The sequence below is a fragment of the Homo sapiens genome, chromosome 10 (assembly GCF_000001405.40).
Source record: "Homo sapiens chromosome 10, GRCh38.p14 Primary Assembly".
Lineage (NCBI taxonomy): Eukaryota > Metazoa > Chordata > Mammalia > Primates > Hominidae > Homo > Homo sapiens.
Window position 1 is genome coordinate 38,657,864 of NC_000010.11, and position 16,050 is coordinate 38,673,913.

General features: G+C 39.5%; 1 pseudogene; it reads right to left on the reverse strand.

Annotated features, from left to right (window-relative positions):
* SLC9B1P3 (solute carrier family 9 member B1 pseudogene 3) overlaps positions 1-16,050 on the reverse strand; it is a 48,295-nt pseudogene that overhangs the window by 17,082 nt on the left and 15,163 nt on the right.

Genomic DNA, 16,050 nt, shown 5'->3' on the forward strand with positions numbered 1-16,050 from the left:
AAAAAATCCAGTGAAACTAGTAGTTGTTTCAAAGTTCAACAAAATTGACAAATCATTAGCTAGAATATTTAAGAAAAAAAAGAAGACTCAACTTCTTTTAGGAACAAAAGAGAAGACACTGCAACAGATATTACAGAAATAAAAAGGATTCTAAGAGTCTACTATGAATGATTATATACTGACAAGTTGGATAACCTAGGAGAAATGAAGAGATTCCTTGTAACATGCAAGTTACCAAGACTAAGTCACAAAATAAAAAATCTTAATAAACCTATAACTAGTAACTGAATCAGGAATCAAAAACCTCCCAGCAAACCAAATACCTGACAAGGGGTTAATATCTAAAATATATACAGAACAACAACTCAATAACAAAACAACCTAAATGAGAAATGGTCAGTTGACTTTGCTATGGTCCAAGTGTTCTCCCAATATTCATATGCTGGAGCCTAATATTCAATGTGATAATATTAAGAGGTGGGGCATTTTGGAGATGATTAGTTCATGAAGTCATAGCTCTCAGAAATGGGACTAGGGCCTTTATAAAAGAGGCTTAAGGGAGTTTTTTTTCCCTTTTGAACATGTGAGGACACAGAGAAGGTGCTATGTATAGTGAATATAGTGACCTCACCAGTCACTGAGTCTGTTGTAGCCTAAATCTTGGACTTCTCACACTCCAGAATGCAAGAAATAAATTTTTGTTGTTTATAAATTACCAGCCTAAGATATTTTGTTATAGCAGCAGGAATGGACTAAGATAGACTTGAATCGACATTTTTTCCAAAAAAAATACAAGTGGCCAACTAGCATATCAACCCAAAACTACATGGAAACTGCCAAGGCTTGGGGATTGAACTCTGAAGCAATAACCTGAGCTGTACATTGGCTCCTTTTAGCCATGGCTGGGACACAGGGCACCAAGTCCCAAGACTGCACAGAGCAGCAAAGTTCTGGGCCTGGCCCACAAAACCATTTTTTCCCTCCTAGGCCTCCAACCCTGTCACGGGAGGGGCTGTTGTGAACAACTCTGACATGCCCTGGAGACAATTTCCCCATTATCTTGTCAATTATCATTTGGCTCCTTGTTACTTCTGCAAATTTCTGCAGTCAGCTTGAATTTCTCCCCAGAAAATGGGTTTTCTTTTCTATCACATCATCAGGCTGCAAATCTTCCAAACTTTCATGCTCTGCTCCCTTTTAAACATAAGTTCTAATTCCAAACCATATTTTTGTGAATGCATAAAACTGAACACTTTTAAGAGCACTCAGGTCATAAATTGAACACTTTGCTGCTTACAAATTTCTTCTACCAGATGTCTTGGATGGGTTCCAAGATAGCCAAATAGGAACAGTTCCGGTCTGCAGCTCCCAGCATGATTGACACAGAAGACAGGTGATTTCTGCACTTCCAACTGAGGTACCTGGTTCATCTCATTGGGACTTGTTGGAGAGTGGGTGCAGGCCCACGGAGGGTGAGCTGAAGCAGGGTGGGGCATCGCCTCCCCGGGAAAGCACAAGGGGTTGGGGGATTTCCCTTTCCTAGCCAAGGGAAGCTGTGACAGACTACCTGGAAAAACAGGGCACTCCCGCCCAAATACTGCACTTTTCCCAAGGTCTTAGCAACTAGCAGACAAGGTGATTCTCTCCTGTGCCTGGCTCAGTAAGTCCCACACCCATGGAGCCTTGCTCACTGCTAGCGCAACAGTCTGAAATCCATCTGCAAGGTGGCAGCCTGGCTGCGGGAGGGGGGTCCACCATTGCTGAGGCTTAAGTAGGTAAACAAAGTGGCCAGGGAAGCTTGAACTCGGTGGAGCCCACTACAGCTCAACAAGGCCCATAGCCTCTAGACTCCACGTCTGTGGGCAGGGATAGCTGAACAAAAGGCAGCAACTTCTGCAGACTGAAACGTCCCTGTCTGACAGCTCTGAAGAGAGCAGTGGTTTTCCCAGCATGGTGTTTGAGTTCTGAGAATGGACAGACTGCCTCCTCAAGTGGGTCCCTGACCCCTGTGTAGCCTAACTGGGACACACCTCCCAGTAGGGGCTGACAGACACCTCATATAGGCGGCTGCCTCTCTTGGACGAAGCTTCCAGAGGAAGGATCAGGCAGAAATATTTGCTGTTCTGCAATATTTGCTGTTCTGCAGCCTCCACTGGTGGTACCCAGGCAAACAGTGTCTGGAGTGGAACTCCAGCAAACTCCAACAGATCTGCAGCTGAGGGTCCTGACAGTTAGAAGGAAAACTAAAAAACAGAAAGGAATAGTGTCAACATTAACAAAAGATCATCTAACCCAAAACCCCATCTGTAGATCAACAATATCAAAGACCAAAGGTAGATAAAACCAAAAGGATGGGGATAAACCAGAGCAGAAAAGCTGAAAATTCTAAAAATCAGAGCACCTCTTCTCCTCCAAAGGATCACAGCTCCTTGTCAGCAATGGAACAAAGCTGGACAGAGAATGACTTTGACGAGTTGACAGAAGTAGGCTTCAGAAGGTTGGTAATAAGAAACTTCTCCGAGCTAAAGGAGGACGTTGGAACCCATTGCAAGGAAGCTAAAAACCTTGAAAAAAGATTAGACGAAAGGCTTACAAGAATAAACAGTGTAGAGAAGACCTTAAGTGACCCAATGGAGCTGAAAACCATGGCATGAGAACTTTGTGACGCATGCACAAGCTTCAATAGCCGATTCAATCAAGTGGAAGAAAGGGTATCAGTGATTGAAGATCAAATAAATGAAATAAAGTGAGAAGACAAGGTTGAGAAACAAGAGTAAAAAGAAATGAAGAAAGCCTCCAAGAAATATGAGACCATGTAAAAAGACCAAATCTACATTTGATTGGTGTACCGGAAAGTGATGAGGAGAATGGAACCAAGTTGGAAAACACTCTGTAGGATATTATCCAGGAGAACTTCCCCAATCTAGCAAGGCAGGCCAACATTCAACTTCAGGAAATACAGAGAACAACACAAAGATACTCTTTGAGAAGAGCAATTCCAAGACACATAATTGTCAGATTCACCAAGGTTGAAGTGTAGGAAAAAGTGTTAAGGGCAGCCAGAGAGAAAGGTCAGGTTAGCCACAAAGAGAAGCCCATCAGACTAACAGCTGATCTCTTGGCAGAAACCCTACAATCCAGAAGAGAGTGGGGGCCAATATTCAACATTCTTAAAGAAAATAATTTTCAAACCAGAGTTTCATATCCAGCCAAACTAAGCGTCATAAGTGAAGGAGAAAATAAAATTCTTTACTGACAAGCAAATGCTGAGAGATTTTGTCACCACCAGGCCTGCCTTACAAGAGCTCCTGAAGGAAGCACTAAACATGGAAAGAAACACCCGGTACCAGCCAGTGCAAAAACATGCCAAGTTGTAAAGAACATCAATGCTAGGAAGAAACTACATCAATTAACGGGCAAATAACCAGCGAATATCATAATGACAGGATCAAATTCACACATAACAATATTAACTGTAAACATAAATGGGCTAAATGCCCCAATTAAAGGACACAGACTGGCAAATTGGATAAAGAGTCAAGACCCATCAGTGTGCTGTATTCAGGAGACCAATCTCATGCGCAAATTCACACATAGGTTCAACATAAAGGGATGGAGGAAGATCTACCAAGAAAATGGAAAACAAAAAAAGGCAGGGGTTGCAATCCTTGTCTCTGATAAAACAGACTTTAAACCAACAAAGATCAAAAGAGACAAAGAAGGCCATTACATAATGGTAAAGGGATCAATGCAACAAGAAGAGCTAACTATCCTAAATATATATGCACCTAATACAAGAGCACCCAGATTCATAAAGCAAGTCCTTAGAGACCTACAAAGAGACTTAGATTCCCACACAATAATAATGGGAGACTTTAACACCCAACTGTCAATATTAGAAAGATCAACAAGGCAGAAGGTTAACAAAGATATCCAGGACCTGAACTCAGCTCTGCAACAAACAGACCCAATAGACATCCACAGAACTCTCCACCCCAAATCAACAGAGTGTACATTCTTCTCAGCACCACATCTCACTTATTCTAAATTTGACCACATAATTGGAAGTAAAGCACTCCTCACCAAATGTAAAAGAACAGAAATCACAACAGACTGTCTCTCAGACCACAGTGCGATCAAATTCGAACTTAGGATTAAGAAGCTCACTCAAAACTGAACAACTACATGGAAACTGAACAATTTGCTCCTGAATGACTACTGGGTAAATAACAAAATGAAGGCAGAAATAAAGATGTTCTTTGAAACCAATGAGAACAAAGACACAATGTACCAGAATCTCTGGGACACATTTAAAGCAGTGTGTAGGGGGAAATTGATAGCACTAAATGCCCAGAAGAGAAAGCAGGAAAGATCTAAAATTGACCCCCTAACATCACAATTAAAAGTACTAGAGAAGAAAAAGCAAACACATTCAAAAGCTGGCAGAAGGAAAAAATAAGATCAGAGCAGAGCTGAAGGAGACAGAGACACAAAAAACCCTTCAAAAAAGCAATGAATCCAGGAGCTTGTTTTTTGAAAAGATCAACAAAATTGATAGACTGCTAGCAAGACTAATAAAGAGAAAAGAGAGAGGAATCAAATAGATGCAATAAAATGATAAAGGGGATATCACCACTGAGCCCAGGGAAATAAAAACTACCATCAGAGAATACTATAAACGCCTATACACAAATAAACTTGAACATCTGGAAGAAATGGATAAATTCTGGGACACATACACCCTTGCAAGACTAAACCAGGAAGAAGTTGAATCTCTGAATAGACCAATAACAGGCTCTGAAATTGAGGCAATAATTAATAGCCCACCAACCAAAAAAAAGTCCAGGACCAGATGCATTCACAGCTGAGTTCTACCAGAGGTACAAAGAGGAGCTGGTATCATTCTTTCTGAAACTTTTCCAATCAATAGAAAAAGATAGAATCCTCCCTAATTCATTTTATGAGACCAACATCATCCTGATACCAAAGCCTGACAGACACAACAACAAAAAAAGAGAATTTTAGACCAATATCCCGGATGAACATTGATGCAAATATCCTCAATAAGATACTAACAAACTGAATCCAGCAGCACATCAAAAAGCTTATCCACCACGATCAACTTGGCATCCCTAGGATGCAAGACTGGTTCAACATACGCAAATCAATAAGCGTAATACATCATATAAACAGAACCAAAGACAAAAACCACATGATTATCTTAATAGATGCAGAAAAGACCTTTGACAAAATTCAACAGCCCTTCATGCTAAGAACTCTCAATAAACTAGGTATTGATGGGATGTATCTCAAAATAATAAGAGCTATTTATGACAAAAACACAGCCAATATCATATTGAATGGACAATAACTGGAAGCATTCCCTTTGAAACCTGGCACAAGACAACGATTCCCTCTCTCACCACTCCTATTCAACATAGTCTTGGAAGTTCTGGCCAGGTCAATCAGGCAAGAGAATGAAATAAAGGGTATTCAATTAGGAAAAGAGGAAGTCAAATTGTTCCTGTCTGAAGATGACATGACTGTATATTCACAAAACCCCATCATCTCAGCCCAATATCTCCTTAAGCTGATAAGCAACTTCAGCAAACTCTCAGGATACAAAATCAATGTGCAAAAATCACAAGCATTCCTATACACCAATAACACAAAAACGGAGAGCCAAATCATGAGTGAACTCCCATTCACAATTGCTTCAAAGAGAATAAAATACCTTGGAATCCAACTTACAAGGGATGTGAAGGGCCTCTTCAAGGAGAACTACAAACCACTGCTCAACAAAATAAAAGAGGACACAAACAAATGGAAGAACATTCCATGCTCATGGATAGGAAGAATCAATATCGTGAAAATGGCCATACAGACAAAGATAATTTATAGATTCAATGCCGTCCCAATCAAGCTACCAATGACTTTCTTCACAGAATTGGAAAAAACAACTTTAAAGTTCATATGGAACCAAAAAAGAACCTGCATTGCCAAGTCAATCCTAAGCAAAAAGAACAAAGCAGGAGGAATCACACTACCTGACTTCAAACTACACTACAAGGCTACAGTAACCAAAACAGCATGGTACTAGTGCCAAAACAGAGATACAGACCAATGGAACAGAATAGAGCCCTCGGAAATAATACCACACATCTACAACCATCTGATCTTTGACAAACCTGACATAAACAAGAAATGGGGAAAGGATTCCCTATTTAATAAATGGTGCTGGGAGAACTGGCTAGCCATATGTGGAAAGCTGAAACTGGATCCCTTCCTTACACCTTATATAAAATTTAATTCAAGATGGATTAAATACTTAAATGTTAGACCTAAAACCATAAAAACCCTAGAAGAATACCTAGGCAATACCATTCAGGACATAGGCATGGGCAAGGAATTCATGACTAAAACACCAATAGCAATGGCAACAAAAGCCAACATTGACAAATCAGATCTAATTAAATTCAAGAGCTTCTGCATAGCAAAAGAAACTACCATCAGAGTGAACAGACAACCTACAGAATGGGAGAAAATTTTTACAATCTACCCATCTGACAAAGGGCTAATATCCAGAATCTACAAAGAACTTAAACAAATTTATATGAAAAAATCAAACTACCCCATCAAAAAGTGGGCAAAGGGTATGAACAGACACTTCTCAAAAGAAGACATCTATGCAGCCAACAGACACATGGAAAAATGCTCATCACCACTGGCCATCAGAGAAATGCAAATCAAAACCACAATGAGATACCATCTCACACCAATTAGAATGGCGATCATTAAAAAGTCAGGAAGCAACATGTGCTGGAGAGGATATGGAGAAATAGGAACACTTTTACAGTGTTGGTTGGAGTGTAAACTAGTTCAATCATTGTAGAAGACAGTGTGGCAATTCCTCAAGGATCTAGAACTAGAAATACCATTTCACCCAGCCATCCCATTACTGGGCATATACCCAAAGGATTGTGAATCATGCTGCTATAAAGACACATGCACACGTATGTTTATTGCGGCACTATTCACAATAGCAAAGACTTGGAACCTACCTAAATGTCCATCAATGATAGACTGGATTAAGAAAATGTGGCACATATACACCATGGAATACTATGCAGCCATAAGAAGGATGAGTTCATGTCCTTTGTAAGGACACGGATGAAGCTAGAAACCATCATTCTGAGAAAACTATCGCAAGGACAGAAAACTAAACACCACATGTTCTCACTCATAGGTGGGAATTGAACAATGAGAACACTTGGACACAGGGTGGGGTACATCACACACTGGGGCCTGTCATGGAGTGGGGGGAGGGGGAATAGCATTAGGAGATATATCTAATGTAAATGATGAGTTAATGGGTGCAGCACACCAACATGACACATGTATACATATGTAACAAACCAGCACATTGTGCACATGTACCCTAGAACTTAAAGTATAATAATAGAAAAACTATGACACTCTCCTACTTACCATATCTGTAGAAAAATTATAAATTTTAGATAACCATCCAGAGATATTTCTCTAATTCTTGGAAAAAATATCAACATTGAAAACATCAAAAAAAATTAAACAGCTCTTTTTTCATCCAAAAAAAAAGAACAATAGAGAATCCTCCCTAAGTCATTTTATGAGGCCAACATCATCCTGGTACCAAACCCTGGCATTGACACAACAAAAAAAGAGAATTTTAGACCAATATCCTTGATGAACATCGATGCAAAAATCCTCAATAAAATACTGGCAAACCAAATCCAGCAGCACATCAAAAAGCTTATCCACCACGATCAAGTGGGCTTCATCCCTGGGATGCAAGGCTGGTTCAACATAGGCAAATCAATAAACGTAATCCATTACATAAACAGAACCAAAGACAAAAACCACATGATTATCTCAATAGATGCAGAAAAGGCCTTTGACAAAATTCAACACTCCTTCATGCTAACAACTCTCAATAAACTAGATATTGATGGGACGTATCTCAAAATATTAAGAGCTATTTATGACAAACCCACAGCCAATATCATACTGAATGGGCAAAAACTGGAAGCATTCCTTTTGAAAACCGGCACAAGACAAGGATGCCCTCTCTCACCACTCTTATTCAACATGGTGTTGGAAGTTCTGACCAGTGGAATCAGGCAGGAGAAAGAAATAAATGGTATTCAGTTAGGAAAAGATGAAGTCAAATTGTCCCTGTTTGCAGATGACGTGATTGTATATTTAGAAAACCCCACCGTCTCAGCCCAAAATCTCCTTAAGCTGATAAGCAAATTCAGCAAACTCTCAGGATACAAAATTAATGTACAAAAATCACAAGCATTCCTATACACCATTAATAGACAAACAGAGAGCCAAATCATGAGTGAACTCCCATTCACAATTGCTACAAAGAGAATAAAATACCTAGGAATCCAACTTACAAGGGTTGTGAAGGACCTCTTCAAGGAGAACTACAAACCACTGCTCAACGAATTAAAAGAGGACACAAACAAATGGAAGAATATTCCACGCTCATGGATAGGAAGAATCAATATCCTGAAAATGGCCATACTGCACAAAGTAATTTATAGATTCAATACCATCCCCATCAAGCTACTAATAACTTTCTTCACAGAATTGGAAAAAAACTACTTTAAAGTTCATATGGAACCAAAAAAGAGCCTGCATTGCCAAGACAATCCTAAGCAAAAAGAACAAAGCTGGAGGCATCACACTACCTGACTTCAAACTACACTACAAGGCTACAGTAACCAAAACAGCATGGTACTAGTGCCAAAACAGAGATACAGACCAATGGAACAGAATAGAGCCCTCGGAAATAAGACCACACATCTACAGCCATCTGATCTTTGACAAACCTGACAAAAACAAGAAATGGGGAAAGGATTACCTATTTAATAAATGACGCTGGGAAAACTGGCTAGCTATATGTAGAAAGCTGAAACTGGATCCCTTCCTTACATCTTATACAAAAATTAATTCAAGATGGATTAAAGACTTAAATGTTAGACCTAAAACCATAAAAACCCTAGAAGAAAACATAGGCAATACCATTCAGGCCATAGGCATGAGCAAGGACTTCATGACTAAAACACCAAAAGCAATGGCAACAAAAGCCAAAATTGACAAATGGGATCTAATTAAACTAAAGAGCTTCTGCATGGCAAAAGAAACTGCCATCAGAGTGAACCAGGCAACATACAGAATGGGAGATAAATTGCAATCTACCCATTTGACAAAGAAAGAATTCAAACAAATTTACAAGAAAAAAACAACCCCATCAAAAAGTGGGCAAAGATATGAATAGACACTTCTCCAAAGAAGACATCTATGCAGCTAACAGACACAAGAAAAAAAGCTCACCATCACTGGTCATCAGAGAAATGCAAATCAAAACCACAATGAGATACCATCTCACCCCAGTTAGAATGGTATTCATTAAAAAGTCAGGAAACAACAGGTGCTGGAGAGGATATGGAGAAATAGGAACGCTTTTACACTGTTGGTGGGAGTGTAAACTAGTTCAACCATTGTGAAAGACATTGTGGTGATTCCTCGAGGATCTAGAACTAGAATTACCATTTGACCCAGCAATCCTATTACTGGGTATATACCCAAAGGATTATAAATCATGCTACTATAAAGACACATGCACATGTATGTTTATTGCGGCACTATTAACAATAGCAAAGACTTGGAATCAACCCAAATGTCCATTAATGATGGACTGGATTAAGACATGTGACACATATACACCATGGAATACTATGCAGCCATAAAAAAGGATGAGTTCATGTCCTTTGCAGGGAGATAGAAGAAGCTGGAAACCATCATTCTCAGCAAAACTATCACAAGGACAGAAAACCAAACACCGCATGTTCTCACTCATAGATGGGAATTGAACAATGAGATCACTTGGACACAGGGCTGAGAACATCACACACTGGGGCTTGTTGAGGGGTGGAGGGCTGGGGGAGGGAGAGCATTAGGAGAAATACCTAATGTAAATGATGAGTTGATGGGTGCAGCAAACCAACATGGCACATGTATACCTATGTATCAAACCTGCACGTTGTGCACATGTACCCTAGAACTTAAGGTATAACAACAACAACAACAACAACAAACGTTTCTTCTACCAGATGTCCTCAGTCATCTCTCTCAATTTCAAAGTTCCATAAATCTGTAGGGCAGGGGCAAAATGCCACCAGTCTCTTTGCTAAAGCATAACAAGAGTGACCTTTACTTCAGTTCCCAACAAGTTGTTCATCTCCATCTCGGACCTCCTCAGCCTGGACTTCACTGTCCACGTCACTATCAGCAGTTTGGTCAAAACCATTCAACAAGTCTCTAGGCAGTTACAAACTTTCCCACATCTTCTGGTCTACTTCTGAGTCCTGCCAACTGTTCCAAACTCTGCACATTACACAGTTCCAAAGTCACTTCCACATTCTCAGGTATCTTATAGCAATACTCCATTACCTCAGTATCAAAATCTGTATTAGTCATGGTTCTCTAGAGGGATAGAACTAATAGGATATATATATATATATGAAAGGGAGTTTATTAGGGAGAATTGAATCACACCATCACAATCGAAGTCCTACAACAGGCTGTCTGCAAGTTGAGGAACAAGGAATCTAGTATTGGCTCAGTCCGAGTCCCAACACCTCAAAAGTAGGGAAACCTACAGGCCAGCTTTGAGTCTCTGGATGAAGGCCTGAGAGCCCCTGGAAAACAACTGGAGTAAGTCCAAGAGTCCAAAAGCCAAAGAACCTGGAGTCTGATATTTGAGTGCAGGAAGCATCCAGCATGGGAGAAAGATGAGGGCAGAAGGCTCAGCAAGTCAGCTTCTTCTAACCTTCTTCTGCCTGCTTTATTCTAGCCATGCTGGCAGCTGATTGTATGGTGCCCACCCACACTGAGGGTGGATCTGCCTTTCCCAGTCCACTAAATAAATGTTAATCTCCTTTGGCAACACCCTCACAGACACAACCGGGAACAATACTTTGGATCCTTCAATCTAATCAAGTTGACACTTACTGAATATTAACCTTCACAATGTAATATTCATCCAATTTGTAACTTTTCTTTAATATACAAGCTCCTTGAGAACATGCACCATTTGATCTTGTCTCTCTGTTGTGTTGGGAGGCAGTGGAGAAGAGAAGAGTTAAATGTGTGGGTGTGGAGTGAAAGACTGTCAGATTTGCATCTTGGCTCCCCTACTTATTGGATCTCTGTCCTTGAGAAAATTACTTAACATTTTTCTCAGTTTCCTTACCTGTAAATGAGTGGTGACATATATGGAACTTAGAACAAGAGCCAAGCAAGTATTCAATAAAAGCTAATGTTGTTGCCTACTGTTTATTCTCAGTGTTTGGCATAGTAGCCGGCAAAAGGAAGAGGAATTTTTTTTTCTTTTTTTCAGACAGTCTCCCTCTGTCACCCAGGCTGGAGTGCAGTGGTGTGATCTTGGCTCACTGCAACCTCTGCCTCTTGGTTTCAAGCGATTCTTGTGCCTCAGCCCCCTGAGTAGCTGGGATTACAGGCCTGTGCCACCACACCCAGCTAACGTTTTGTATTTTTAGTAGAGATGGAGCTTTGCTATTTTGGCCAGGCTGGTCTTGAACTCATGTCCTCAAGTGATCCCCCCGCTTTGGCCTCCCAAAGTGTTGGGATTATAGGCATGAGCCATTGGGCCCAGCCTGGAAATATTTTTTTGAAACATGACTGATAACAATATTTTTTGAAAGAAAGACAGATACCAATCATGAAGGAAAACATTTTCACAATTGACAATAAAAAAACTTTAACTTCTGAATGGTAAAAAGAGTGAGAAAATTAAAAGCCAAATCACAAATTGAAAAAACTAAAGTATATAAAACAAAGGTTTTCATTCTCAATTTAATGCAGAATCTTGACAAATCAAAAAGAACAAAAGGTGAACCCACCAAAAGAAATAGGCAAAAAACTTTCAAGAAAAGCAATTTACAAAATGCCAATGACGAATAAACATGGATATTTAACAACACTAGTATTCAAAGTACTTCATTTATAGAGATCCCTCCTTCACCTATCAAATTAGCAAAGATGAAAAAGGCTAGTAATACCAAGTTTTGAAGAGAGGTGAGAGGAAATGACAAGTTTATGTACCCTGGTAGGATTTGATATTGTGGCAATATGTTTCAGAACACTCATAAATGTATATACCTTTTAGATCAACAATTACACTTTTAAGCTTAAGAAAATATGAAGATTAGGTACAAATATTTCCCTATATGTTCTTCTAAGTATTATTTTTTTAATTAAAAAAATTTTTTTGAGACAGAGTCTCGCTCTGTTGCCCAGGCTGGATAGCTCACTACAGCCTCCGCCTCCTGGGTTCAAGTGATTCTTCTGCTTCAGCCTCCTGAGTAGCTGGGATTACAGATGCCCACAACCGTGCCTGGCTAAGTTTTGTATTTTTAGTGGAGACGGGGTTTCACCATGTTCGTTGGCCAGGCTGGTCTTGAACTCCTGACCTCATGTGATCCACCCTTCTTGGCCTCCCAAAGTGCTGGGATTATATGTGTGAGCCACCATGCCCGGCCAATTTTTTAATTTAAAAAAATATTTTTATAGCAGCACAACTAAGTATTATTTTAATAGTAAATATTGGAGTTAACTTTAATTTTGAACAGGATAAGTAATCATGATGCAGCACATTGAATACTCTTTCATTAAGCTAAACAACTATTAAAAATGATATACAAATACATTTACTGAAAAGAAACATGTTTGTGATATACAGTTAAGTGTAAAACAATTCAGGTTATAAGAACATATTAGGCCGGGTGCGATGGCTCATGCCTGTAATCCCAGCACTTTGGGAGGCCAAGGCAGGAGGATCACGATGTCAGGAGATCAAGACCATCCTGGCTAACACGGTGAAACCCTGGCTCTACTAAAAATACAAAAAAAAATTAGCCAGGTGCGGTGGCGGGCGCCTGTAGTCCCAACTACTTGGGAGGTTGAGGCAGGAGAATGACATGAACCCAGGAGGCAGAGCATGCAGTGAGCCGAGATTGTGCCACTGCACTCCAACCTTGGTGACAGAGCAAGACTCCGCCTCAAAAAAAAAAATAAAAGAACATATTGGTCAATATTCACTAATTTTTATAAGAATATTTGACAGAGAGAGAGGGGTAACGGAAGGGAAGGGGGAGGGGAGGGGAAGGGAAGGGAAGGGAAGAAGGGAAAAAGGGAAGGGAAGGGAATATGGGTGGATTTATATCAAAAGGTTCAGAAGGAAATGATTCTTTTCTTCTGGATGTGACTATTGCAGATTTTTTTAACTTTTCCTCTTTTTCTTATTTATTTATATTTTCTTATTTTAAGAGAAACTATAAAACTATATATATTACTTTTCAACTTAAAAATAGTTTAGTGCTTCAATAATACAGAAGACTCAAACATTGCAGATAATTAAAGCATTACTAAATGTGGAAATGTTTAGTTTCACAATTTCTGTAGTGATATTCAAGACCAGATATCACCTTGGGAATCAGAACTGGTGCAGGATCTTGTCCTAACACTACCAAAAAGGCATATGGCTGTCCCAGCTCTGTATGTTTATATTGTCTTATAATAGAGCAACCAGTTGTTTATTAGGATGGCCAAAAAGGCACATTTCAAAAATGCCTATTAAAATATTAGTAGTACAAATAATACTGCTGCTTAATTTTTTCTAATGAGAACTGATAAAATTCAAAAGCAACATAAGCATATAAATAGTAATAATATGGTGTATCAAATTAATTGTCACATGATTATTAAAGTGAGATCATGTGTGTTAAGTAGTGGTATCTTAAGCCACTGAAATATCTTCCTTGGTCTGGAATGAGCTTTCTATGGAGATTAAAAAGATGTTAAATTGAACAGTCTTGGTTAATAAATGAAGAAGCAAAGCCAGAAACCCTGTTTAAAGAACTAACAAAAAAGGTCATGAATGATCTGGTGGTTGTTATATTTTCTTGTTTACCCGAGAAGAAGACTATGCTCAAGCATGTATTGAATCCAGTGATAGCCAGAATGTCATCCATACTGCTAGCAGCCATTAGTAGGTTGGAATGTCTTCCTCAACACCATATCCATTTTCTTGCAACACCATCATGTAAAGGACAACAACAACAGGAGAGACAGCACCTAAAACAAAACTGAGAGAATGAAAATTAATTTAAAAGCATCTTTTTAATCAAGTAGTGTTTATAAGTACAAGTAGTTTATAATAAATTTATAACAAACATTGTTTAGAAGAATTTCAAATTTGAGTGAATGCAATTTAATGGTGATAAAACTTTTCATGCATGGTTTAGTGTTAGCTAAAATTTTATACAGACGTGGTTTAAAATGTTGGCCTGAGCACAGGTTGCAGCCTTTCCCTCTATTCCTAAATCCTTTGAAATGAAGATGTAAAGGTAATAGAAAAATTCATAACCTAACAAGAAAGCAAAAGGTGAATCATCAATGGACAAGAAACTAAGCATATGCCAGAAAGATAAGAGACAGACAATTTAGGATTGAAAAAAGGAAACCATAAACCAAAATGTGTGTAAATAAGATTGCCTCAAAAGATACATGTGCTTCTAAAAGTGGTCCAAGCCCTGAAATGACAGGTGCTGGGAGCAGGAGAGACCTCTGGGGAAACCAAATAGTTGATTATTTGGAGTACCACTGTAAGAATGGTCAGACAAATCTACCTTCCACACATTTCCTACCTCTCGAGTAAATAAGTAAGTAAGGAAGGAAGGAACAGAGTTGTCTGCCCAAAAAAACAAGTGTGGCCACCTAAGTTACAAAGGCAAATGAGAACATTTCTGGAGTGGTTGATGACACCCATGAGGAATGGGGAGGCTCCTGCTCAGAATACCTTCTATTGGCATATCTTATCCAGAATTTCACCCCATCTCTTCTACATTTACTTTATAAAGCGTGAAGTATATCCTGTGTAGAAATGCCTTTGGTGCTCCTGCCAGAATCCATTTACCAGGTCAATGAACACATCTCCCAGTGCTTCTTGTTGGCTGCTATTACCTGCAGGTTTCTAGAACCCTTGTCCTGCTGACAAGCACCTACTTGGGAATACTAGGGAGGTTGTGCACCCCTCTATTTTCCCTCCAGACAGCATCTGCCAATGACGGACTGATGTGAGATTTGCTTCTGGCTGTACAACTCTATGGTGCAGTTTATGCTACAGATTTCCCTGTGGGCTCAAGAAGAGACTAGACTTCTCTAAGACCACATACTGGTCTAGTTCAGTGGTTCCTGAGCTCTGCTGCACATTGTAATCACTTGTTGTATTATTTTTCTCATTTTGCTTAACAAGTCATCCCCAAACATAGCAGCTTAAAACAACAAATATTTATTGTCTTATGACTTCTGTGGGTCAGGAATCTGGGCATGGCTTAGCTGTATGCCTTGACTTAAGATTTCCCATGAGGTAGGGTGGGGTGGAGAAGATCTGCTTCCAAGTTTACTCATGTAGCCATTGCAGGCTTCAGTTTTTTCCAACGGGGTTTTCTCCACAGGGCTGCCTCAGGACATGGCAGCTGGCTTCCCCAGGAATAAGTGATCAAAGAGAATTTAATCCACAACATCAATTACAAACACAAAGTGTCTAAGAACAAAACTGTGAAGACAGTCTATACTTTTATAAAAATTGTGAATCTAATAATATAGTAATTAAGATAATACCTGAATACTTAGAGAGACATTTCACAAGTGTGAACTAAAAAGCCCCAATTTTACCATCACCCAACACCACGCCTGGCTAGTTTTTGTGTTTTTAGTAGATACAGTGTTTCACCATTTTGGCCAGGCTGGTCTTGAACTCCTGACCTCAAGTGATATGCCTGCCTTGGCCTCCCAAACTGCTGGGATTATAGGTGTGAGCCACCACGCCTGGCCAAAGCCTCAATAATATAAAGATGTAATCTCTCCCCCAAATGAATTAATCAGAGATACACCAATCAAAATCTTTGCAGGGATTTT